The sequence below is a fragment of the Homo sapiens genome, chromosome 2 (genome assembly GCF_000001405.40).
Source record: "Homo sapiens chromosome 2, GRCh38.p14 Primary Assembly".
Taxonomy (NCBI): domain Eukaryota; kingdom Metazoa; phylum Chordata; class Mammalia; order Primates; family Hominidae; genus Homo; species Homo sapiens.
Window position 1 is genome coordinate 154,240,381 of NC_000002.12, and position 27,885 is coordinate 154,268,265.

The 27,885-nt window shown below is 34.2% G+C and overlaps 1 protein-coding gene across 20 annotated transcripts in view, besides 1 other annotated feature; it reads left to right on the plus strand.

The window, feature by feature from the left end:
- The window catches only part of GALNT13 (polypeptide N-acetylgalactosaminyltransferase 13), a 1,388,282-nt gene that overhangs the window by 1,172,088 nt on the left and 188,309 nt on the right, over positions 1 to 27,885 (plus strand). For 18 of the 20 annotated variants that reach the window (NM_001422882.1, NM_001422883.1, NM_001422881.1 and 15 more), the window contains 4 exons: positions 1,650 to 1,816; positions 2,318 to 2,525; positions 5,432 to 5,602; positions 18,641 to 18,758. In NM_001422882.1, the coding sequence (NP_001409811.1) occupies positions 1,650 to 1,816; positions 2,318 to 2,525; positions 5,432 to 5,602; positions 18,641 to 18,758 (664 nt within the window). The remainder of the gene's footprint in view (positions 1 to 1,649; positions 1,817 to 2,317; positions 2,526 to 5,431; positions 5,603 to 18,640; positions 18,759 to 27,885) is intronic. The other 2 variants (XR_007069045.1, NM_001376405.1) reach the window with 1 other exon arrangement.
- Positions 725 to 1,924: an enhancer, noted in NCBI's record as "BRD4-independent group 4 enhancer chr2:155097618-155098817 (GRCh37/hg19 assembly coordinates)". NCBI's record gives its function as "activates an origin of replication core promoter dependent on BRD2, P300/CBP, MED14 and CDK7 cofactors, and independent of BRD4, by STARR-seq in HCT116 cells {active_cell/tissue: HCT116}" and the evidence as "EXISTENCE:reporter gene assay evidence [ECO:0000049][PMID:35650434]".

Below are 27,885 nucleotides of genomic sequence, written 5' to 3' on the forward strand. Positions count from 1 at the left end.
AATCAGTGTGCTCTGGGGACCAGCAGCCTCTAAATCATCTGGGAGCTTTTCGGAAATGCAGAAACTTCACCCTAGACCTAGTGAATTAGAATCTGCATTTGAATAAATCTCCAGGTGATGCTGAAATGGGAAAAGTTGCCTTCTCCCTCTCACACGGCGTGTGATGGGGCTGTGGCTTGCTTCTTCAGTGCCCCTCTGCTCAAATCTCTAGGGCAGTATATGGACGGACGGGCAGGTTGTGGGGCTCCGACCCCACAGCAGTGTTTAGGGCCCTAGTGGGAGCGTGCTACCGTGTGCTCTTTTAATTTTGCCATCTATAGGCAGCTTGTGTTAACCAGCTCAATTAGACCCTCTACCTTGTCACTACCTTGTCACAAGGACAGAGGACTTTCTGTATCCGGGGTTCTTGGCTTGGTGTACCGGAAGAGTCACATCACACTTGGGCTTGGAGAATGAGTGCAAGGTTTTATTGAGTGGAGGTAGCTCTCAGCAGATGGGGGAAGCCAGAAAGGAGATGGAGTGGGAAGGTTTTCCCCTGGAGTCCAGCACCTCAGCGGCCTGGGCTGTCTCCTCTGACTGCCCCAGCCAAATTCCGCCTCCTCCCACTGGTCAATGGCTTGCTGGCTTGCCGGTGCCTGCTGGTGCATCCCTCTCCATGTCTAGCCGTCCGTGCCTTCCTCCGCTGACTTGCTCCTCTCCACACCCAGCTGTCTGTTTCATCCAGCTGTCTGTGTCTTCTCGGGCAGATCTGCTCTTCTGGACGTCCAGCAGCTTGTGTGTCTGCCTTCTAGAGTCTGGGGGTGGTGGAGCGGGGGTGGTTATAGGCACAGGATGGCAGGCCAGGGCGGTCTTGGGAAATCCAACATTTGGGCAGGAAATGCCTGTCCTCACCCAGGGTCTGTAGGGGTGGAGCCCTAGCCAGGGACCACGCCCTCTTCTACCCAGCACTTCCCTTCCCTTCTTCCCTGTCATTTAAAGGGACCACGCTCTTACCTTCCCAGCACTTCCATATCAGTGACTGTGCACATTACAGTTTGAGAAATGCTGGTAGTCCATTCCCTTTCCTGATCTCCAAAACATAGGGAAATTTTAGAGGCCAGGATGCATTTAGTAGATTCTGAATCTAAAGGAAACCTAAATCATTCCTTGGAAGTAGACATTGTTTATAGCATCCTCAAATGGAATTAAAAGCATATATGACTAGATTTAGAACAGAAAAATCTGTTTTACATATTTCAAAACCCTTTGGACCCTTGTCTGTTTATGTTCCTATGACTTCTTGAGTTATACATTTTTATTAACAAATGATAAAATTATATTCACTAAATGAACTCATTTGTACCTGTTTTACCAGTTTCAGAATGTTATTTTATATTTCTTAGGTTTTTCTTAGACTTGTAGAAATCATGCTGCTTTGTTCCCTGCAGGAGTTAAAATAAAAATATTAGTAATTATGCATATTTAATTTTCAGAATGCCAACTGATTACTCACAGCAGTTATAAAAGGGAAATGATTTTAGATATTCATAAAACATTTCCTTAGTAAGGGGCTTTCAAGTCTGAAGTTGTGTTATTATGGATATTTCTTTTTAAAATAATCAGGATAAAAAATGCATTTATTAAGATCCCTCTTCTTTTCTCTTTTTCAGATGTAAGACAAAAGTCTACCCTGATGAACTTCCAAACACAAGTGTAGTCATTGTGTTTCATAATGAAGCTTGGAGCACTCTCCTTAGAACTGTTTACAGTGTGATAAATCGTTCCCCACACTATCTACTCTCAGAGGTCATCTTGGTAGATGATGCCAGTGAAAGAGGTACAAACTGGTTTTTTGTTTTTGTTTTTGTTTTTTTGTTTTGTTTTGTTTTGTTTTTTTGTATTAGAAAGCTTTATTATGGCCAAAAAGATAACTAGGCAATGATCTATATTTGCATTATAATTTTACTAGCCCTGCCACAGCCTATCAGATTCTCATCAAGAACCTCATTAATGCCAACTCTAGAAGCAAATAACTAATTCTTTCACTTTCTCTCATGATTCTATATGGTTCTTACCTAAAATTTCAGCCAAAATGACTTTCAAAAATATATCTTTTTTCCAACTCAATTGATTATATTATTGAGCATTCTCATATGATTTTATGGATACTTGACATTAATTAACTAATGAAATCTCTATTATTTTATATCTAAGGCAGTAAATACTGATAGGAATTGGCCACCATTTCTGTGTGTTGAATTTCCATCTTGGTAGTATCTCTGCTATTTCTTAAAACAGTTTCAAAAATTTTTCTTATAAATTCTTATACATGTTACAGATTTTCTCAAGTTGACATTAGAGAATTACGTGAAAAATTTAGAAGTGCCAGTAAAAATTATTAGGATGGAAGAACGCTCTGGGTTAATACGTGCCCGTCTTCGAGGAGCAGCTGCTTCAAAAGGGCAGGTCATAACTTTTCTTGATGCACACTGTGAATGCACGTTAGGATGGCTGGAGCCTTTGCTGGCAAGAATAAAGGAAGACAGGTAAGAATTTATGTGTTCTGTCTGCCTGGGTTATGACTGAACCTCTTAGGACAGTTCCAGATGTCCATCAGAATTTCTCTTCCAAGTTGCTATTTTTAGAAGGTTTATTTTATAGCTTTTCTTAAAAGCACGTTTTCCCACTTGCTTGATAAATAAGACTGCTGTATTCATGCTGGACATAGATAGTTGATTAAGAAATAGTGAAATAATTCAAATAATAAAAACGTGTTAAATTACTTTTTAGGTGAAGGAAATAAATATAATCTAAAATAGTATAATTGTGTTATAAAGCACATTTTCAAAGCACCTTTTTGTGTTCTGACAACCACCCTGTGAGGTAGGTACTGTAGATATTCTTATCTATAACTTATAATGAGGAGGAACAAAGAAGCCACATCTAACTTGCTCCTGTCATTGGAAGTGCTGGGAACAACAATTCAGCTCTTTCCAGTTCTCTGCCAGTGTTCTGTAAACTACACGAGCACCCTTAGTCAGTCTAGTTCAAATCCACCTGGAATGTCTTAAAAATGCACACACACACATGCACACACACAGCACTGAAAAAATTATAATTAAAAAAAGAAACATAAGAGCACAGCTATAAGAATATGTTTAATTATTTCAACAATGTCACCTTATACATACACATTTTGAAATCTGGAAAATTGAATAAATAACACTTATAGAAATTAAGAATCCTTATACATACCTGCAATTCCTTCTGTTGTTGATGAAGTACAAGCATTTTTTAGCAAATATTTATAAACACTGGTGATAAGAGAGTATAATTTCTAAATACCTAGATAACTAACATTGAATGCCAACTGATACAATAACAAAACATTACATAACACCATACTTGCATAGTCATTTCGTCTATAGTAGAAAATTCCTTCTAGAATTGACATTTTTAATTAGACACTCAAGATAGGAGCTACTTAGTCTGAGCTAGTCCAGCCACATCACTTAAACAGCAGGATTTGGTACTTGCCAGGAAGATGGATGGAAGCTGTCAGTAAAATGAAGCACAGCAGTTGAAGAAAGCAGTAGGAACCTTTTAGTCCATAGAGTGTTGTACATGGCTAATAACATTTTTCCACTCTGTGTATTGTACAGTACCCACAGGACAATCAGACTGGCAAAGTAAAATGAACTTAAAAATGAATTTCCTGGCAAATTTTGGTACATTATGTTGTTTTTTTTTTCCACATGTGTTTCATATTCAACTGAATGAGCTTTTAATGTTTCAATACGGTCATACATAGGCTATTTATTTTTTTGATCTAACAACATAATTGCACTGTATTTGCATATGATGAACCCTATTGTCTTGACCTGATTATAAAGTTTAAAACTACCCTAAATAGACAGTCTGTTCAAGATTTTTAGACCTAATTTCTTCTCCTCACAAGTTAAATCATTAAATCTAATAAAGGAAGTGAGAAAAATGTTGATTTTTCTGGGGTCCAGAGTCACCAAGAAGGTTTTCCAAGGCTAGAGGAGTCTTGTTGATCGCAGATAAGTTGAGGCTCTGGTCAGTTGTGTGGAATATAAGACTTCAATTGAAAATGAGTATTGGTGAAACTGGTGTTACAAAACAAGTATGAATAATGGACATTTATGTGCTTTTCATATCTAGGGATGATTCAGAAGCTTATTTGTGTATTTACCTTCTACCAAATATGAAAAACCAACTCTGGTCTTCAGAATTAGCTACAACCAATACAATTTGAGTAGGCCTGAACATTTACTTGTGGAAATCACAGAAGGTTGGTCCCATAATAAAATAAATGAACAGGCATTAGATCAAGAATTAGAGAAGGCACAACATGGATTAAAAGTGTACCTAATGATTTTCCCAAATGAAATTTTCTACCATAGAAAGCTACCATTAAGAACACCAACCTTTCTCTTACTTTAAGAAAAATGGGATAGGCCAGGTGCGGTGGCTCACACCTATAATCCCAGCATTTGGGAGGCCAAGGCAGGTGGATCACCTGAGGTCAGGAGTTCGAGACCAACCTAGCCAACATGGTGAAACTCTGTCTCTGCTAAAAATACAAAAATTAGCCAGGTATGATGGCAGGCACGTTGGGAGGCTGAGGCAGGAGAATTGCTTGAACCTGGGAGGCAGAGTTTGCACTGATCTGAGATCTCCCCACTGCACTCCAGCCTGGGTGACAGGGCAAGGCTCTGTCAAAATAAATAAATAAATAAATAAATAAATAAATAAATAAATAAAACACCAGAGATTAAAGTTGCTTATCTTTCCCTATCTTAAGCTATCATCTAGATTATACATGTAAACTCTTAATTTGAGGACATTTTACTCAGAAATGGTCATGACCCTATCATCTTTCATCGGAAACATTTACTTATACTGACGGATTATGATTTTTGTTGTTGCTGTTTGTTGATTTCTGTTTGTTTTTCCTAGTAGGTGTTTTCTCCATGAAGATGTTCTCAGAACTCTCTAAACTAACGTACCCTACTTGAAATGCAAACTACCAGATCTAATTTGCCATCATCCCTTCTTACCTCCCTGAATGCTATTTCTTTTCAATGGATTATAGCTAAAATGATGCATAATCTCAAAGCAGCTCTACTAATCATGCTGTGGGTGGAGGTTTTATAAAAAATAGACCCTGCTCATCTTGCTAAGTTAGTACTTAGAATGCATTTGGAAATAAACTTGTTTAGATTTCAAAAGATAGCATAAAGTAAACTGTAAGGAATATGTAGTCAAAGGAAATAATTCCATGGACTAATAGGATAAAATGAAGCTAAAGGCATATTAAAGTAACAAAATAATTAAATTTCCTCATATCAGCTATAATCAGTTTGAAGAAGATAATGTAACATTTTAATTATCATGTGTCTATAAATTGGTTTTAATTTCTCTGCAGGAAAACGGTTGTCTGCCCTATCATTGATGTGATTAGTGATGATACTTTTGAATATATGGCTGGGTCAGACATGACTTATGGGGGTTTTAACTGGAAACTGAATTTCCGCTGGTATCCTGTTCCCCAAAGAGAAATGGACAGGAGGAAAGGAGACAGAACATTACCTGTCAGGTATGTAGATCATATCTCTTGAAGATTATGTATATCCCCCTAAAAATTAAGGAATATTATAGATTTCTGTTCTAATGTTTAATTATTTAATTGTATCCTTATTATTCAATATACATATACATTATGACCTTTACATAATCATATAAGGATCAATGACAATATTAAATCTAATTTAAATTAGTATAGGCAAACTTAAGTATTGGCAAAAATGCTAAATATCTTTTGAAAGTTTATGTATTCTTGTATTCAAAATATATTTACTGTGAATTTTCTATGTGACAGAAATGTGCTAGCCTTGACACTTCAAGTAAATGTGTGTCTTACCTTAAAGTATAGATTTATAATAGAAATGTTCTCAAAACTGAAATAGCCAAAAATGTTTTGGTAAGTATTCTAAATATACCACCTTTAAAAGGTTATCTTCCTTATAGATTCTATAGGTCCATTTGGAAAATATTAATGTATTCAAAATTATGAAGGGCTTATTATCCCAAATTACTTCAAATACTACTTAAGTTGAAATCCTGATTAGTAAAATATGCACTTACTTGTAATAAAAAATATCATATACATCTCGAATTGTCTGTATAAGCATTACCCACTTTATTAACACAAAAGTATCATCTTCCTACTTAAACACATTGTGGACCTCTTACCTGAAACTAAAAATCGATTTCCTGAAAAATACTTTCGGAAGTATTCACTAGTTTAGTTCTTTAAAGATGAATTTGGCAAATCATCCTTCCTTTGGAACATGAGAGAAATACCCTAACATTCTAGAAACATACACTTTAAGTCCTCACTTAGCATTGTCAACAGGTTCTTGGAAACTGCAACTTTAAACAAAATAACAAAAACACTGTCATCAATCTTATAATGGAAGGACATTGAACTAAAGGATGTTACTCGAGGACCTTTTGTTTGTCATTTCACTTAAAGTTGCAACAACATTAAGTGAAGACTTACTGTATGTAAAATCCATGATCTGAACAAGAATGTCTGGTAACCTACTGAAGGGATGACTTATCTATTGTCACCTACTTAATTATATAAAGAATTAATTAAAATTAAACTCTAAAAATAGGCTAATGGAAGAGAATGGCTAAAGGTATTTGTTACTGAACAATTAAATATTAGGGATGTTAACTTCTAAAGAAGATCTGTTACATCAAAGAGAAAAATAAAATGTGACTTCTAACATTTGTATAAAGTCATGTAAGTTATCCTGTCAGTATTTAAAATGTAACTTAGTAGTCTTAAGTCTTGTATAATCTTCAAATTCACCAAGTCTTATTGATACTTACCTTTAACAAACTGGGAAAATATAGTGGCTCATGTTACCATCATTTATTAGATATTCTATTTTCCCAAATTGTTTTCATTTAGTGTTAGCTGATTTTTAAACTTTAGATTCCGAGTGAAAACTATCAGAATGCTTGACCAATACACTTACATATAGATAATGTTTTTATTCATTTGAAAATGCTGTTTATAAGAAGGCATGTTTATACTCATTTAAAAAAACACATTGGCAAAAAACATGCTTTATTTATGTTCTCACAGAGTCAAACGGAAGATAACTAAGAGGTAGCCAGCATTCACAGTAAGAAATTACTGATCTCATTCATAAAATAAAGATCTATGTAGAAATCAATCATTATTACTCATCTTTCATTAACTAAACCAAAAGATGAATCATCTAACTTCCTATATTTTAACCATAATTTATGTGGTTGTATTGCAGTAATATGAGATCTGATAAAATCTCAGTATATTTTGTTTCCTGCAGTAACGGCACATCATTTTATTTTCTAACATGCTGAGGAAGCTGAAGTGAGAGAAACAGAGAAACCTCAGTCTTTGCTGAAGTTTCTAGATTTTTGTGGCAAAAGGTTAATTAATTCATGGGTTCGGTTGTAACAGCCTGCAGGTAATTTTCATCAGCATAGCTGTAATGTGAACGTTCCTTCTACTTGTAATCTATTGCTTGAAGATGTGATCATTTTTCTCACATTCATACAAATAGATAAATCATTCTAGATGTTGAAGACAATTTTTTTCCTACTTGATTAACAGAATTCTGAATAGCTAAAGTGATGAAAATGAAGCTGAAATTTTAGTTTTCTTAGTGGAATGCTTCATTTAAAATGTCAGTTATGATAGAACTTTGTAGTCACCATAATTGGCTAGTCATCATTTAGAAATACAATCATGCATCTGCTTACATTGAAAGCCAAGTTGAACTTGTGACCTAAATCAGTTATACTACATCTAAAGTAAAGCTTAACATGGTCATTCTTATTTTTCTGGGCTTTGGTATTTTCATTTTCATAATAAATGGAGTTTGTGAAATACTTGTTAATTTTCATATTATAACTATGGAATAATATACATAATTACGAATATATATTTTCCTTTAATCAGTAATATATAGTTTCCTTTAATCAGTAAACTTTCCTTGACATTTAATAATCAAATTATATGACTTTTCAAGAATATTTCAATTATATGTGCAACAAATAGTACTTTTTAAACTGGAGGTCATAAACTAGGAGGTTTTGTGCCAAATATTCTCTGTAGAAGTGTTTTATTTGGCATACATAGTGTTTTACATTTTCAAAAATTACCAACACTTTAAAAATGAGATATTTTAAATAAAAATCTGGATTTCCATCTACTAATAAGTCAGAAGATCTTGCTACAATGGACCAGGATTCTTACCTGGCACCATCAGGTGGAATTTAATAGAAACTGCCCATGTAGAAATGGCATGAAAACTTTTCCCAATCTCCACAACTCCTTCTAAATTATGTTCCTGACACTGAGGCTGAGGGTCATTTGACATTTGTCAATATTCTTGAAATTGAAGAAATATTTCTCTGCACCTGTGTCTTGAGGAAAGGGGGAAAATATATTTATTGTAACAAATCCACTTTATATAATTATCTTTATCTGGCTATAATCTTTTAAAGTTTTGACCCTGGTCTTAGAGGCTACTGCCTGGGAAATGGCTGAGTTTGAAACTCATCAAGCATATCACCCCTGTATAACTATGCATATACATTACCTAATAGAGTAGGCAACTAGTAGCAAAGTTACCTGATAATGCAAATAATACTCTAGATCATTTAATTAATTTGGGGATGAGTTATGCATTTTTTCCTAACACATACAAATGGGAGGTGATTTGGTTTAGGCTATTGAAATAAGTTTGATTCCATACAAAAACAAACATACAAACTGTTCTATTTGTATTCCATGCATACAAACTATTGGGCGCTGTGCTAAGTTCTGCACATACAAGCATGGATAAGGCTACCTATGCTGTAAAGTTGCTCACTGTCTGGCACTGGCCACAGGTATGCTCGATGAGGGAAAGAGTCTAGTGTAAATGGTCCAAGTGTGGATGTACAGGAATAATTATGTCTACTACTAAAGTGGTGTGGACCTCTAGAAAGGAGCCTGGCTTAAGTCTTATTGATTGCTTTAGTCTCTTAATTATGCCCTGTAAGTGAACCTCAATAAATAATTATGAAGATATTCATTTCCACTTTAATTTCACACTGATTAAAATAGATTTTTTAAATGAAAAACCTACTGGTAATTTCCAAGTGAATTTAACTTTTTTCACCCTTCACATCTTACCTTATGGACTCTTTTACCTTTAATCATCATTAATATTTTTAATATGACTGCCTTCATTTTTACTTCAAGTGCCATGTTGAGTATATTTCTAAAGTAAAACAAAAGAGTTTTAGATGTTCTTTTAATTCTGATATAGTAATAAATCAAACATAAATGTTATTGGTTTTTATTTCAGACCTATTTTACCTAATTTTATATTCCTTTTTATTGACATTCAGTTGATTTCATGCATTTATTTTTCACTCAATTAGAATTAGGAGTTTATGAAGATCAAATAAATCAAATAACATCATTAGTATCTCTGATTATAATTGTATTTTATTGTGAAAAACTCATAGAATGTTCACATATATTATCTCCTCTATCATTCTAGTGTGATCATAGAAGAAGCATTGAAACTAGCCTTGGAGGATCTAGTTTTATTTCAAGCTCCTCCAATTGAGAAATTACCTAGTCTTCTCAACTATAAAATGGAAAATTATTCTCCCTGCTTTGCTTAACTCATGAAGTGCTATAAAATATTGAAATGAGCAATGTCTTTGATATGAATTAGGTTTTAAATTTATATCTGATAATGTAACATATAAATATTGCAAAATAAATGTGACAAGTACCCAAAAGGATGAAGAAGCAGAACACCAATGAGCCATCTCTTTTAGAATTTGGTTGTATTTTCTTCTAAGGCTTTTCTATTCAATTTCTCTACAATGTAAATTTGATATATCATCAATATTTTTCTATGCCATTATTTTTCCCCACATAGGTTTTAATGGCTGCTAATGTCTCAATTACTTACGATGTTTCTCTATTTTTTTTGTTGACTAAAGTTCATCAAGAGTTTGTTTGCACTTCAATTTTTTTATCAATTATTTCTTCACCTAGTGTTTGCATACAAAGTGATTGCTTTAGAATTATGCATTTGAATATGAAATTTGTTTTAATATTCCTGACACCTTCTGCCAATTTAATTCCTCCCCAAAAATATTATCACTGAATCAATTTATAATTTCACTAAGTATAATAAATTAAAAACACAAATGTTACTCTTTAACATCTTATACAAATATAAGACAAAGTTTCTTATATTTAGTAGTAACAAATAATTTACTTCTTAATTTTTATCAGATTGTATTAGACTTTTCTCAATCCAACCATAATATACGTTTGGATTGCAGGAAAGAAACAGAAATAGATATCACCAAAGCCTTTAAAACACTTCTATAAAATAAAAGATATGAAAACAACAGCACAGGGAAAGGTCAACGTTGTGAGCAGAACAAAGACTGAAAGAAATAACTAACTTTGGAATGCTCAACTAGTCAATGCTCTTGCTTACTCCTGTTAAAATCTAATGTATGTTGATTGAGAGAAGTAAAAAATTATCTCCTCAGATAAAAATATTTGAATCTATATTCTATGAAAGAAAGAGTACTTTTATATTATATTACTTTCTAATAGTTTAGGGGATAATTTGGGAGACTTTCTTAGCAGCCTGTTGGGATGAGAAGAAAACTAGGGTAATAGAGTGCTAAGTTAAATATTACATTTATATACTGAATAATTTTGTCACATGAACCAAAATATTTTATGACATCTGATCCCAGCTGGCCCCATTGTTTATTTTGATCCCTCGTAAGCATGAAATGAAAGTACAATGAAAGATTAAAATTTGCACCAATTACTCTACATCCTTGTGGAAGCTTAGGGTTTTATCAGGTCCTAGGAATTATTAAAAAGGATTTAGGGAAAAAAATAACTACTCCTTTATTGGAAATATAGATGTTTAAGCACAAGTTTAAGTATTTGATTCTCATGCTTATTGGTAAGTGGGTTCTTTGGCAGCAAAACAAATCATTTGCCCATACTAAGCAGAACATTATATTTTTCTTATTCCTTAAAAATGACACAAATTGTTTGTGTTTCATCGACTCTGCAGGATTTTAGTAAGCTTCCATGTCTAGAGCCTAAGCCAGCATAAAGTCTTAAAGTAACAATTTCTTCTCTACAGAAAGCCACATCTTCATACCCAAACACAGGTTCAGATGATTGTAATAGTGTGCGGTATCCACCAAACTTCCCATTTTTATCAGTAAAAACTTTAATTACATTCAGCATTTAATTATTCATCACTCTGATAGAAAAGCATTTGTGCCTCTGCTTCCTTTCTCTTTCCTCTGCTTTCTATTTTGGTTATAGTGCATAGAATAAGGAAGAAAGGAGAGAAACTCATAGCATTTCATTTCCTTTGGGTTCCTAAACCTACAAAATGATTAACCTAATAAAGCCATTAGATTTTATAATTTAAAAAAATCAGACGTGAAGATTTCAGCTATTCATGCTCATATTTGTAAATGTAAAAAAAACCTTATTTTTATTACTTATCTTTATTAATTTTATAATCTATGGAAAATGTAATTAACACAGATCTAAATACTAACAGTGTAGATATTGTGTTATTTGAACATTATAAATAATAGCTTAGAACTAAGCTGTGGTCTCTGAAACATTCTTAGGAGTTTTTCCTCCAAGGCCCTTGATTATTTGCCAAGTAAGATTAAATAGAATCCTGATGTATCCAAAGAAAAAAATAGAAGGAATGATGTTTCCAGAACTTTGAGAGAAATTGTTTATGAAGGGCAGTCCAAAAATTCACAGGAAAACATGGTACATAAACATGGAGCTTGAAATCAGGAAACATGTACTATTTTAATTTATTTTATTTTATTATTATTATTTTTTTTTTTTTGAGATGGAGTCTCGCTCTGTCACCCAGGCTGGAGTTACAGTGGCGCCATCTTGGCCTACCGCAAGCTCCGCCTCCCGGATTCACGCCATTCCCCTGCCTCAGCCTCCCAAGTAGCTGGGACTACAGGTGCCCGCCACCATGCCCGGCTAATTTTTTGTATTTTTAATAGAGACTGGGTTTCACCGTGTTAGCCAGGATGGTCTCGTTCTCCTGACCTCGTGATCCGCCTGCCTCAGCCTCCCAAAGTGCTGGGATTACAGGCGTGAGCCACCACTCCCCGCTAGGAAAAATGTATTTCTAATTAACTACCCCAAATCTTTTGCTGTATAAGGTATATGGACGAATGGAAAAAGATAGATAGATAGATAGATAGATAGATAGATAGATAGATAGATAGATAGATAGATAATAGATAAGGAAAGGAGAGGAGAGAAGAGGAGAGGAGAGGAAAGGAAGAAAGAAAGAAAGATGACTTTTTTATCCATGCTACCAACTAGTTAGGGGTCCTTGAACAAGGGACTTAAACACATTGCAACTAAATTTTTTGACCAAAACTGTAGGGATTTTAGAGCTCTGAAATATTACATATCTGAAAATTAATTGGACCCAGAAAACAATAAAAATGAAGCAACTTATAATCTTGGTAAACAGAGATGTTTCTCCTTTTTTGATAGATAATATCTAAAATGTATACTATAAGCTTTGTGCTGGTATTGTTTCAAGACTGTTACATGTATTAACTCACATGATCCACATTTTATAGGTGATGAAACTGAGGCACAGAGTTTAAGTGACTCAATGACAGTCAAACACTGTGGGGCTGGGGTTTGAATCCAATCTAGCTATGAAGTCCAGACTTCTAACAACTAAATTTGGCTGCCTCTTGGGGTCTCATTACCTCTATACAGGGTGATTATCACAGCGTGAAATACAGGATATATTGTCTTCTTGGTGAAAATACAGACATTACATTTTAGCATTACTGAATAATTAAATGTATTCTGTCACAATTTCTGTTGATTTACCAACTTCTGGTGAAAAACTCCAGCATTTTTCCATGTCAAATGCATACTTTTTTGAGACTTTTACTATTTTACATAGTTACAAAGCTTCATATCTTAAATTCTAAAATACTATCACAAACTAGGCACTGTAGCATGCACCTGTCATCCTGAGACAGGAAGATAGCTGGAGGCCAAGAGTTCGAGATTATCCTGGGCAGTATAGTGAGACCCAGTCTCAAAGTATAACTAACCAAATAAATAAATAAAATACTATCAAACTCAACCCCTAAAACTCCTATTAGATGATAGAGCCTTTGAAAATCTTGCAATTAGTGAAATCATCTTTGTTACTCATCAATTTAGCAGGTGCGAGCAAAGAACATTTTTGGAATTTCAGAAATAAAATTGCAGATAATTTTAACTTTCAAATAGATTGTTCTGTGGCTATAGAGATACATTACTCATTTGTTTGTTATTCAGTAAATATCCATTAATAGTCTAATACTATTAAACCAATGTATTGGGTATGCTTATAGAAGTGGTGAAAAGTACACAAATAAATATAATACTATATACAATAAGAATTGGCCAGTTCCTTGAGATACACAGTGATAAGGGCTTATAGAAGAAGGTGGAAGGGGAAGAGTATGTCTTGATTGAGGGAGCAGGGGGACGGGGCAGTGGTGTTGAAGGCAGGCTGCCTAGAGTGTATAACATTTGTATTAGACTAAGAATAATCAAATTTGAACATATAAGGGGAGTTTTCAAAGAAAAATCCAGGTGACCAATGGATGTGAACAAATATACCAAGGCACAAAAATGTAAAGCATTTACCAGTAACAGCTAAACACTTTACATGCAGGGAAATAGTTAAAGGGGGTTGAGAGGAGCTCGTTGGGTAGCCCCATTGTTTATTTTGATCCCTCGTAATCAAATGGCTAGATTACTGATGCCAGGATAAGAAGCTAGATTTATTTCCTTAACATAGATTTTTGAACATCTATTAACATTTTTAGAGGATCATCAATTTAGAGAAATTAATCTGGCTATGGTTTTTAGGATAAATTTCAGAAGCAGAAGAATCTAGAGGCATCCAGATCCTCTCAGCATCTAGGCATCTTAGCATCTAAGAGGACCCCATTATTAGCAAACATAGAAGACTAAAAGTATCACTATGATAACAGAGATGAGTCAAAAATACTTCAGAAAAAAAAAGAAGTATTTTGGAAATAATTGAATTAGGCATAAAAAATGTGGTTTTTCATTTTATATTAAGAGACTGGAAAGAAATATAAGACATTAAAAGAGAGACAGATAAGTAGCAAATTTTCAGGTCTATGATGTACACACTGAACAGAGTCAAAGGAGTTTTTTGGAGGAATCATCTAGTGAGTAACTGCAAAAGCACAACTTATGCAGAGGAAACAAGTATGGAAACACAGATTAGGAGTGAACCATAAAGGTGACAGTGAAAGGTATGTGATGAATGATCTGATCTTACCCACACAAAGAGCATAGAAAGAGAAAAGTGCCCCTGAGAGACCCTTGGGAGGACTAATTTCAGATGAGAGAAGAAATTATTAAATGCATATATCCACAAAATAATATTATAATGGTATATTGCACCCACGTGATAGATATGAAACTAAGAGCTTGTCCAAAGTCTGACAGCAAGGAAAAAGGAGGGGAAGGGGATGTCAATAAGAATCATAAAATTAACAATCAGATTAGTAGAAGGGAAACCTCTACAGAACAATGCAATAGGAGCTAGAAACAAAAATGATTTCAAGCAGGAAGCCTGATGTATTGTGCTATATACTTTCAGAGGAAAAAGTTAAGGACAGGTTATTGGAGTTCAAAATCAATGGGGACCTTTCAGAAAGAAGTTATTGTAGAGGCGGGAGCAGGATCTAGCTTCTAGTTGAAGGTTAAAAGTTGCTAAGGGGGTATGTAGAAAGCATCCTTTCAAGAAGGTTACCAGGGAAGGGAATAGAAAATATATGTGTCTGGTTTAACAGAGTAGTAAGGTGGAATGAAAATGTTTTTTGGTTTAGGATAGAACTTAATTCAGCAGGCTTGTAAGCTCAAGGGAACAATCTAGAAATCCAAGGCATAAAACATAAATGTTAATAGTCGATGAGCAAGGGCCTGAAAGAGTAGTTAGGAGTCTGTTGAGGCCACAAGCATGAATGCTAGACCACAATGAGAGGAAAGGAGCTATTCTTTTTTATGAGACAAGAGGAGAGAGGAGGCCATGAGGAAGACACATTTTTAAACATGTTGAGCTAGAGATTGAAGGAGTTTAGATTTCATGATTGAGATAATTTAGATTTCATGCATTTCCTTGATCCCCAGATGGTTGAGAAGAGTCCAAAACTTTTGGAAAGACTCAGGCCAGGTGTGGTGACTAACACCTGTAATCCCAGCACGTTGAGAGGCCAAGGTGGGCAGGTCATTTGAGCCCAGGAGTTCAAGATCAGCCTGAGCAACATAGCAAAACTCTGTCTCTACAAAAAATACAAAAAGATAGCTCGGTATGGTGGTGCATGCCCGTAGTCCCAGCTATTCTGGAGGCTGAGGTGGGAGAATCATCTGAGCCTGGGAAGTCGAGGCTGCAGGGAAATCTGATTGCACCACTACACCACTCTAGCCTGGGTGTCAGAGTGAGACCCTGTCTCAAAAAAAGAAAAAAAAAACTCAGTTAAAAATAAGGTAAACAAATAGAGAGCAGGATTGTTAGCAGTTTGTGAATTAAGCAGAGAATCAATAATGTGGACTTGTCCTATAACCAGTTAACCACATCTTATTACTTTCCCAGTGTCTTAATAGCAGAAGTAAATGAAGTGAAAGGTAGATTCACCCAAGCACCAAAATTTAAAAAAAAAAGCGAGAGAGATAATTGGAAATTGCAGAAAAGCAAGCACAGAGAACCAAAGTTCCTAAGCTAGTGTTTTGCTGACATGGCAGAGCCTTGGAAATGGATTGGAAGAAGGGAAGAAGAAATTCCTGAAAGTTGTTATTAATGTGAGACTATGGATTAACTAAGGAACCATAATCACCAATAAAGGATAAAATGACTTCTTATGAAAATAGGAGGGGTTAAAGAGTAAGAAGTTATGCTCTGAGGCAAATTTCAGTCAGCATCTTGGATATGAGGTAGTTCTAAATGGTTTTGAAACCTAAAGTGAGGGTATATAGAGAGAGAGGAGCCCAAATTAAATGAAGGATAGCAAGGATTTTACTTAAATGATTAACATCAATAACAACAACAACAAAGATAAATTACCTACCCTTATTAACTGTTGGTTATGTATTGAGAACTGTGTTAAGTGCTTTACTTCTGTTAACTCAGTTCATCTTTCCTACTTACTATGTGTGGTAGGTAGTGTTCACAGTCATTGAGCTGACTATTCCCCTCTCGTTCAATTGACTGTTTGGTTGCTTGGTTTGACATTGTTTAGACACAACCTTGAAAAGCAAATAATTTCAGTTAATTTAACCATAATCAAGATTTTTCATTTTCTAGATGCTCTGAACACTTAAGGTGCACATGGGCATATGTAAATATTTTATTAGGCATATTACAGGGCAGTTAACTTAGAACAGAACGTGTTGCATAACATTGGCTATGGCTATAGGTATTAAACATTATAAGGCAGAGTCTCCAATCTGAGAGAGCTAACTGATATTGCAAACACAAAAAAAACTATCCAGGAGTATCTGTCTTCAGAAAATACAGGAGTTTCTTGAAGAATTGTAATTTTATTTTATTATTTTTATTATTTTCAAGCATAAGTAAAAGTTATTTGAGTCTTTCTTAATAGTATAAATAGCCACTTATACATTTCTCACATAGAAGAATGATGACCAACTGTAAGCCGAAATTCAATACATGTTATTTAAATTAAAATGTGCCAGTACTTTATCAGTAAGTAGATAAGTAGATGGGCACTCTGAACTGATTATTAAAAATGCATCACTTAACAATATTAAGCATTTGGTTACATTATGATAGGATAATTGCAGCAATTTTGGTTCCTAATTTTATCAATCAAATAGACTCTCCAGCACTGTAATATGTTATATAGTTATTGCCATAGTGTTCCAAAACCCACATCAGGTGAGGGTCATGGCTACTTCCTAATTACCATCTGTTTAGCTTTGTTAGTGTTTCTCATTATAACTCAGAAGGTCAATGATACTGTTCATGATAGGAACCCAGCAAGGCGAAAAGTAATAAAATAGCTCTGAGACTAAGCAAGGCTCTGCTACTCCAACTGATGGACAGTTAATTACCTGAGCATAAAACAGTGAGAGCACTGGGAGAAATAGAGAACTTTGCAATATGGTAGATGTCCAAGTACAATATTATTTGGTGGTTTTTCAATGAACAATTCTGTTTAATTAAAACATGAGCATAACCTTTGTCAGAGGAGAATGTAATTTTGACAAAAGCAAAACATTTGGTTTTTAACAGCCTCACAGACTACTTAGATGAGCATTCCAAATCTAAGTTTCTATAGCAGTTTCTCACCCTTGGCAGTACATTAGAAGTACATAGAAACTTTATATAATACCAAAGTCGGGCCCCACCCCAAGCCAATTAAATCTAAATCTGTGGAGGGTGGAAATTAAACATGCCCATCTTTTTTTTTAAAGGTGGCTCAGATACTGCTTTTGTGCTTTGAAGGTTACAAACCACTATATTACAACTAACATTCAAAAGTCATCATTGCCATTATGGATCTATTTGTGAACAACTACAATCTTCTTTTTAACCTTTAATTTGCACTGCTTTTATATGGAAAGACTTGTGTAGCTCACTCATTAACCATTGTCTTTAATTTGTCTTTTAAATTATCAACTAATTAATCTTTTAAAAACTTCACATCTGACTTCTCAGCTCCCATGGAGGAATTTTGAACGTGAAACCAAAAGGCATTTATTCCTAGAAAAAAGTTTTAGAATCCCTTCGAAGTGTCCTTTCAAACCTCTGAATAACAGAAATCCCATAAATCCTATGGGATATATGTTTTTCCATAGAATTAGATGATTAATTCTATCATTTTAATTAGTAAAGAGAAGAATAAACAATTAGATGTAAAGCCCTTATGTTAAAAAAAATACCTTTGTAACTATCGCTAGATACTTATTTTCTATAAACATTTTATAGAATTTAATTTTTTTTATTTTTAAATAGGCTATGGATCTTTTCATAGTGAAACCATGTCCACAGATTTCTAGAGTTTACATAAAAATGATTTACATTATGTGACCTAAGTTGACACCTGATAGTTTCATGACCAGCTAACCACTTCAAGGACAGTGCAAAGGGCAGAAACCTCTCTTCGCTATGATTTTCAGAGGGAATATAGAAGTACCAGTCTTCCATGGCCAGTGTCACTTTCATCTATCTATTTGATCACCTGTAAAAAAAAAAAACAAAAACTAATATGAGTTTTAAAGAAAATGTGAAAAAAATGCTATTTCTTAATTTTAAAACTTCTTACACCTTGACTTTGTGTTTTTAGTTTGAGATTTTTTAAATATTTAGAATGTCTCAAAAATACGTGCTACAGTCTCATTAAACTCCATACATTGTTTTCAAAAGATATTCTTTTCTTTTTGTTTTTTTTCAACTAGGACCCCTACTATGGCTGGTGGCCTATTTTCTATTGACAGAAACTACTTTGAAGAGATAGGAACTTACGATGCAGGAATGGATATCTGGGGTGGAGAGAATCTTGAAATGTCTTTTAGGGTAATTGCATTTTATTTTATTTTTTGATGCTGAACATACAATGCTGTAGCATGCACATACCAGTCCCAGTAATTTACTGTCAAATCATTTTTGCTGAGTGATGCAAATTACTGATCAATTGGTTATCTTAATTCACATTTTGATTTGACAGAGTCCTATTGCATGCAATATTTTCTTCTAAATGGGAAATTATAGGTAATTTTTGTTTTCAAAAATATTGTTTTTATTCACAGTAAAAATACATTAGGACTTTCAATTGCTGAAATAAAGAAGGGTTTTATTTTTTAATAACGTGTTGCTCTATAAAATCACTTTGTGTTTTTGAACTGAAACTTGGAAGTATTTATGTAATCTGAATTTGCAACTACTGCCTCAGGTTGTTCTCAGAAAACTTTAAGAATGAACTGTGGTCAAATGAATTTGGATAATTCTGCAAGTAGTGTGACCATTTTCACTAACATTATTGTTGGATAAGTCAGTTTGAATAAAGCAACTTCATTTAATAAATGGCCTTCCATGTAAATAAAAATTGAGGAATAAGTCCTTACGAATATGTTATTAGGAAAGTTTAATAATAATTTAAATAATATTTTGTTATATTCAAAAAATTTAAAAATGAACACATAAGTTTTCTTTCATGCTAAGAAATTGATAAGCACTAACATAGTGGTTTTGTTTTTCAAATCACTGCTTTTTTTTCTACCTAAAATTCAGTGTAAACTATTTGTGAGTGTTTTTTGTTATTGTTGTTGTTGTTTTTTGAGACAGAATTTCCATCACCCAGGCTGGAGTGGTACAGTGGTGCAATTTCAGGGCTCACTGCAGCCTAGACCTCCAGGGCTCGGGTGATCCTCCCACCTCAGCCTCCCTTGTGGCTGGGACTAGAGGTGTGCAACACTACTCCTAGCTATTTGTTTTTCTATTTTTTGTAGAGACAGGGTTTTGCCATGTTGCCCAGGGTGGTCTCAAATTCCTGAGCTCAAGCAATCCACCCCCCTCTGCCTCCCAAAGAGTTGCGATTACAGGCATGAGCCACCACACCCAGCTTCAGTGTAAAATATATGAAACATTCCATCTTCGCCCAAAATATTTGTACAATAAAATTATTAGAGTTTAGATGTATTTATCTATGAAGTTTAAAAATTATGCCTTTTAATTTCTCATTTCAAAAGTAAAGTTTGTTTTTCATTATCATAATATAAATACGTGTGATGTTGTGTAAGAAAATGTTAAAATTTGAGAATGAGTTACCTTGAATTTCTCTACTGTAGAATTCAGTGGATCTTGGATAAATTATTTTAAAATCAGTAGGATGGCCTAGTTATATTACTATTTTGCCTGTAAACTTTCCTGATAGCCAGATGTCTGAGACAAACCTTAGTTAATGGAATTTTATTATTTTTGCATTTGTCTATATGCTTATATTCTCATGAAACTTGCCAAACCAAACTCAGCACCACACTCAGGAATATCTTCTTGCCTTCAGGTCCATGGACAGTAACTCTTTGCAGGAATTTTGAGGACATTTGAGAACCCAAAATTATTACCTGTTATGGTTCTTATGGTGAAAGAAATAAGAGGTAACAGAAAAAGAAAAGAAATCAGTATATTCAGAAGTTTAGAAATAATTTGCTTCTATTCTTAGAAGTAATAATGAGAGAATGTACTCATTCATTAACTGATATTCTTCGGGTGCTATGCTGGGTTACGTAAGAAATAAAATCAACACAGAAATACCGCTACTATATAGGATCCTCTTGCTACTTTTTCTCTTGTCTTCCTAAAATTAGAATTCACCTCTTTCCTCCCTACCTGTTAAGCTTGATTTTCTGCCAATGTACTCCTCTTACTTTTATCACATATCTCCCAGATTGGCGGGATGCTCTTTATCTAACTGGTTGAAAGTAGAATTCAGAAAGAATTTAGTGGAATAATATGATAAACAAGGAGGACCTGATCAGGAAATGTAACAGAGGTATAAATGTATAAAAAGGAAGACTTGAGGATATGATAGATGATGCAGATACCAAGGGTACAGAAGGAATGCAGCTAGGGGCTGTAAGAATAATCAAATCCCTCAAAAATGACACAGGAGGTTTTCTGTGATTGGTTATTGGGATTATTAGGAAATAAAATACTTATCAGTGACTATTTTAAAACAATATCAAGTGTTTTAAAATGTATTATTATCTTTAGTTTCCATATGACTTTAATAGAAACAAAATATGTATTTTGCTTTTTATTAGACTCTTAATTTATGTTTTACTTTCTTCTCTGTGACATGAATATGTTTGCTTAATGGTTTGTACTGTAGCTGAGGTAGACATTGATAAGGAAAAATGCTAGAATAGTGCATTGACAAAAGATTGAGACCACTCATCTCTCTTTAATTTCATGACTTGATGAAATGAGAATATGTTGAGCATTTATAATCAGAGGGTTTGAATCTAATATCCAGCTCAATCATTACACAACAAACATACATTGAGCAAGTGATATGTTTCCAGGTGCTGACTTTACAAAGATGAGTAAAGCATGATGCTTCTTTGCTCTCAAAGAACTGCATTCCTATGACAGAGATGCGTAGGTGTTATTGTCAAGAAAATGTGATAATTTCCTTTATAAATTTATGTGTGAGGTTTTTTGTCTCTGTCATGTGAGTATAGGTGAACATAAACTCAACTGTAAAAAGGTGATTATAATAATAGTGAAGTTATTGTGGTTTTGTAGCTGTGGTCTACATAGGTTCTAGTCTAAGTAAAGAAGATAGAAATATTTAGGGCTTGCAAAATGTTAAGATTCTGACTCACCTCAAGGTATTTTAAGCCAAACCAAAGGAATACATTGCAAAGACTTATTTGTAACATATCACTTGATCGCTGTACTTAAAGACATTTGAAAATTTTATGAAAGCTGTAGACTTCCTAAGGAAGATGTTTCCAACCTTTTAAAGACAACAGATTTAAATACGGTTTCAAAGTGTTTAAAAATCTCTTGAAACCTTAGGAGAAAGATCCTTGGCATATAATAATAGTGACTATTAGTATTTATAGTAGCTAGTAAGTGGAATAGCTAAGAGTTGACCCGCAGCATTCTGACACCAGGGACTGTGCTGTTAAATACCATACTGTTACCTCCTCATTAAGGTTCATCTCTCCATAACATAACGAACCTAACAGTTGATGGTATTATTAGGAGAAAGAAAGACGCTAACATGCAAATACAAGCTTCCTCCACAATTCTGAGATGCTTCTCTCGTCTATAATCTTATCTTCCTCTTATAGGCTATAGCCTCTAATGGAAGATAATACACATTCAATAGCAGTGAGAATATCAGGTATATCTACCAGAGAACAGCAGTTAGGTCTTAATGCTTCTGAAAGCTGTTTCAAATATTTCTCCCTACTGCATTACACAACAATCACTGCAATAACATAAATCCTAACAGCACTGTCTAAACATAAGCATTAATTAATTATGTTTAGACAGTGTTATGTATCTGCTGGGGATACAGTAATGAACAGAACAGACAAAACTTTGTGCTCTTATGGAACTTAGATTTTGGAGAAAGAGACAGACAATAAACAAAATAAATAAAATTTATTAAAATATCAGTTATAGGTGTTAAAGAAAAAATATAAGGAAGGAAAGATTCTATGAAGTGTTGGATTTTGGAGGATACATAGGGGTTGAAATTTTAGACAAGAACTGAGAAATTGATACCCAAATAAAATAGTGATAAAATGAACCAAGAAAATTATGAATTACCATCAAAAAGTATCCTCTATCTTTAAATAATAACCGTGTTTCAGGATAAGTATCAACCAACAAGCATCACCACCAAAAGTCCTTGTCTTTTATAAGCAATATCATGGGGAGCAGCATTCCCAAGAGTACAGATCATTTTGCCCATTCTAAAATGAAGAAAACTGCCACTATCCAATCAACTCAGAGCATGGGAAAAAATAAATAAAGGAGCTTGATGACAGCAAAGGACACAGAAATCTGTCTCACAGCCATGAATGGTTACAAGTATGGACTGGGATTCAGATAGCCTGCATTCAACACCCAGCTCTGGCACTTACCATCTGTGTAAGCTTAGGTAAGATAGCACATATTCTAAGCTTTAGTGTGTCCATCTCTAAAACAGAAAGATAACAGTACTTTCCTCATTTTTAGAGAAAGATTAAATGATATTATGTATATTGTGCTGAGTACTCCACTCAGCACATAGTGTGTCATTCATGGCAGCTGTTGTGGTGATTGTTATAAGCTGTGCAACTCTGGGCAAGTCATAACATTCCTGAGAATCACCTAAAAACAATCTTACCTTTAATAATTTGGCTTTGATCATGGTTAATCACAAGAGAGAATGTAGAGAAAAAGTCATTTAAACCCAGAAATGCAATATACATTAAAGTATAATTATACTAAGTGTTAGTTGAGATGTAGTTCTAAGGCTCCCCTGCTCAAAAAATATATTAAATTTTAAAAAGGAAAAGAAAAACCACACACAAAAAAATACTTTTTATACTTCCACAACATCATTGGAGTTAATTACTGACATCTAAGAATCTAGGGTGGAAAACATTTTTCTACACTCATAAATCAGTTGGAATGAAACAGTTGTTAATTTTTAAAAGTATGTATCATCTAGACTTGGAGTAACAAGTACTAGATTTACCATTCTCCTCGTCATTCACCTGAATAAATTAAAAAATGGACAAAAATACATGAAATAACACTTTCAAGACATTGAACAGCAGTCACCCTGAGAGATGGGAAACAAACAAGGAAAGCCTTACAATTGCCTCGGCTTACTGCCTTGTGAAAGTTTCTAGGCCTTAGTGATAAAAGGGCTAGATACTGACAGACTCCATGACTTGAGGAGATGAAGCTGAGTGTTTGGGGAGACCAAGCCCGCTGGAATTTGGTGAACAGAGTAATGGAGTCCTGGGCAGAGCATTGAAGAGATATACAGAGGTTTCTGTGGGAGTATTCAGCTGTGTCTTCACAAGTGTGTGAGGAAACAATCCAAGTCTGAGGAAAGAACCTTCAGAAAAGGTTAGAGGTCTCATTGCCCAGTGATGACTCAGGAAAGTCAATAGTACCTGTATCCTCCAGACAGATTGATTCATGAGGTAAGGGGTAGAGGAAATATTGAGAAACTACATAACATACTTCTTAAAAACCCATGGATAGTCTGGATGTGGTGGCTCATGCCTGTAATCCCAGCACTTTGAGAGATCGAGCAGGCAGATCACCTGAGGTTAGGAGTTCAAGACCAGCCTAGCCAACATGGTGAAACTCTGTCCTTACTAAAAATACAAAAAAAAAAAAAAAAAAAAATTAGCTGGGCATGGTGGTGGACTCCTGTAATCCCAGCAACTCGAGAGGCTGAGGTAGAAGAATCGCTTGAACCCAGGAGGCAGAGGTTGCAGTGAGCCGAGATCATGACACTGCACTCCCGTCTGGACAACAGAGCGAGACTCTGTCAAAAACAAACAAACAAACAAAACCCACAGATTAAAGAACAAGTAAAATTACCACTATTTGGAATGTAATGAAAATGAAAACATAGCACATCAAAATGTGTAGTGACACTAAAGCAAACTTAGGAATTATTTATAGCACTAAATGTCTATATCAGAAAAGAAAAAAAAAAAAAAGAGGTAAAATCAATGACCTTAGCTTCCACCTTCAGAAACTAGAAAAAGAAGAGTTTTTATGCCAAAGTATCTAAGAAAAAGGAAATAATAAAGATAACAGCAGAAATAAATGAAATATAAAAGGAATATATATAATATTCCACATATATGATACCTATATGATAAAAAAAAATATATATATATGGAAAAGCAATGAAACCAAAATTTGTTTCCTTGAGATCAATAAAATAGATGATATTTTAGCCAAATATGGGAAAAATAGAGAGATGACACAAATTATCAATTTTGGAAATCAGAAAGGTGGCATGACCACCATGTATTCTACAGATGGCTAAAAGGATTGGAATGGAACATTATCATTCTCATTATGCCAATAAACTTGACAACTTAGATAAAATGGACAACTTCATTAAAAGATACAAATTATCAAAGCTCACAGAAAGAAAAAATAGACCAAACAGCCCTGTATCTAGTAAATAAATGAAATTTATTCTAAAAATTTATAATTTTTAATACTTTAAAAATAATTTTTACAAAGGAAACTCAATGGCCAGATAACCTAACTGGTGAACTCTACCAAATGTTTTGGGTAGAAATCAGAAGAGTTCGGGCCAGGCTCAGTGGCTCATGCCTGTAATCCCAACACTTTGTGAGGCCGAGGAGGGCAGATCACCTGAGGTCAGGAGTTGGAGAACAGCCTAGCCAACATGATGAAACCCTGTCTCTACTAAAAATACAAAAATTAACCGGGTGTGGTGGCGGGCACCTGTAATCCCAGCTACTTGGGAGGCTGAAACAGGAGAATCGCTTGAACCCAAGAGGGAGAGGTTGCAGTGAGCCAAGACTGCACCATTGCACTCCAGCCTGGGCAAGAAGAGCAAAACTCTGTCTCAAAACAAACAAACAAACAAATGCTTCCACAAAATTGAAAGGAGGTAGTACCTCCCAATTCATTCTGTGAGATCAGCATTACACAGATACCAAAACTTGACAAAGTCATTACAAAAATAGAAAACTAAAAATTAATATTCCTGGTAAACATTGATGCAGAAATTCTAAATAAAATTAGCAAATCAAGTTTCTCCGTATGTCAAATAAATAATATATCTGATTAAGTAGTGTTCATTGCAGAAATGCAAGGTTGGTTTAGCATTCAAAAATCCATCAAGGTAATTCACCGTATCAAGAAACTAAAAAAAATTGATTGGTCATCTGAATAGAGTCAAGAAAAGTATATAACAAACTCAGTCTACTCCTGAATTTAAAAAGAAAACCAAAAACAAACAAACAAAAGCCCTGAGCAAACTATTTATAGAAAACTCATCAACCTGATAAAGGGTTTGAGCAAAAAAACCTACACATATTTAATGTTAAAACATTGAATGCTTTCCTTCTAAGATCAGGAATAAATAAAGATTTTGGATCTTACTACATCTACTTAACATTATACTGGAAGTTTTAGGCACAGCAACAAGGTCGGAAGAATAAATTAAGCCATCCATATTAGGGAGGAAAAATTAAGACTATAATTCCAGAAGACAAGATTATCTACAAAATCCAATGGAATCTACAAAAGTATTGCTGAAACAAATAAGACAGTCTTCTTATCAAGGTTGTAGAATATAAGAACAATGTATAAAAGTCAACTTTATTTCTATACACTAGCAACAAACAGCAGAAAACTGATATTAAACATTATCTAAAATAATGTAAAAAATATGAAAAAGTGATAAATCTGACAAAAGATGTGCAAGACCTCTATGCTAAAAACTGCTGTATATTACTGAAATTAAAGACCTAAATGAATGAAGATAAATACTATTATTTATTAATAGTTAGTAGACTCAATATGATATTAAGATGACAATTCTCCCTCAGATCAATATAGATTCACTGCAATAGCAAGTGTATTGTATTTACTTACTATTGCATATCAATATAGATTCAATGCAATAGTTAAGTGTATTGTATTTACTTAACTATTGCATTGAATCTATATTGATAAGCAATAGTAAATAAAACTTATTTTGTTAGGTAGAAATTGACAAGTTGATTCTATCCATATAGATATACAAGGGATGTATAATAGCTAAAAATGCATTAATAAAGAAAAAAGTTAGAGAATTAACAAAGTAGGATTTAAAATGTATTATAAAGCTATAATAATCAAGACTGTGTGTTATTAACATAAAGACAGACAAAGGAACAGAACTGAAAATCTGGAAATAAACTTAACACATACGTGGACAACTGATTTCTAACAAATATGCAAAGGCTGTTTAGTAGAGAAAGAATAGTAGTTTCAAAAATATTATTAGAACAACTGAATGTCTATGTGGGGGGGAAAAACAACTCCAATCCATAACTTATACCATGAAAATATTAATTCAAAATGTAAAAATATAAAATTATAAAAGAAAACATAGGAGAAGAACTTGTGTAACCATTGATTAGACAAATATTCCTTAGATATGACACCAAAAGTATGAGTCATAAGAGAATGGATTGGTAAATTAGATATCATTAAAATTTAAAAACTTGTGCTTTTCAGGCCGGGCATGGTGGCTCACGCCTGTAATCCCAGCACTTTGGGAGGCCAAGGTGGGCAGATCACTTAAGGTCAGGAGTTTGAGAGTAGCCTGGCCAACATGGTGCAACCCCATCTCTACTAAAAATACAAAAATTAGCTGGGCGTGGTCGTGGGCGCCTGTAATCCCACCTACTTGGGAGGCTGAGGCAGGAGAATCACTTCAACCTGGGAGGCGGAGCTTGCAGTGAGCCGAGATAGTGCCACTGCACTCCAGCCTGAGCAACAAAGTGAGACTTCGTCTCAAAAACAAACAAACAAACAAAAAAACTTGTGCTTTTCAAAGCCACTATTAAGAGAAAGAGAAGTGAAGGCACTGACAGAAAAAAAGAAGTTAGCAAATTATATATCTGATAATGGATTTGTATCTAGAAAAAAAAACTCTCAAAACTCAGTAATAAGAAAACATTCAACTCAATAAAAAATGAGCAAAATAACTTGAATAGACACTTCACTAAGAAAGGTCTACAAATGGCAAATAAGCAATTGAGTAAATCCTCAGCAGTTAGTGGGGAAATGAAATTTAAACCACAATGAGATTACACTATGCATTTATTAGAAAAAGAAAGGTTAAGAAGGCTGACCATGTTGGTGATAATATGGAAGAACTGCACCTGCAATGCTGGTGGCGATGTACAATGGTACACTAAACTCCAAAAAACAGTTTTAGTACTTTTTAAACACTCTTGAGTATTTACTCAGTGGAAAGGAAAATGTATATTCATACAAAGAGTTGTATGCCAATATTCATAGCAGCTTTATTTGTAATACCGAAAGCCAGAAACAATCCAAATGTCCATCAGCAGGTCAATGAATAAACTATGCTTTGTCCATACAAAGAATGTGTGCAAACTATTAATGCACCCTACAA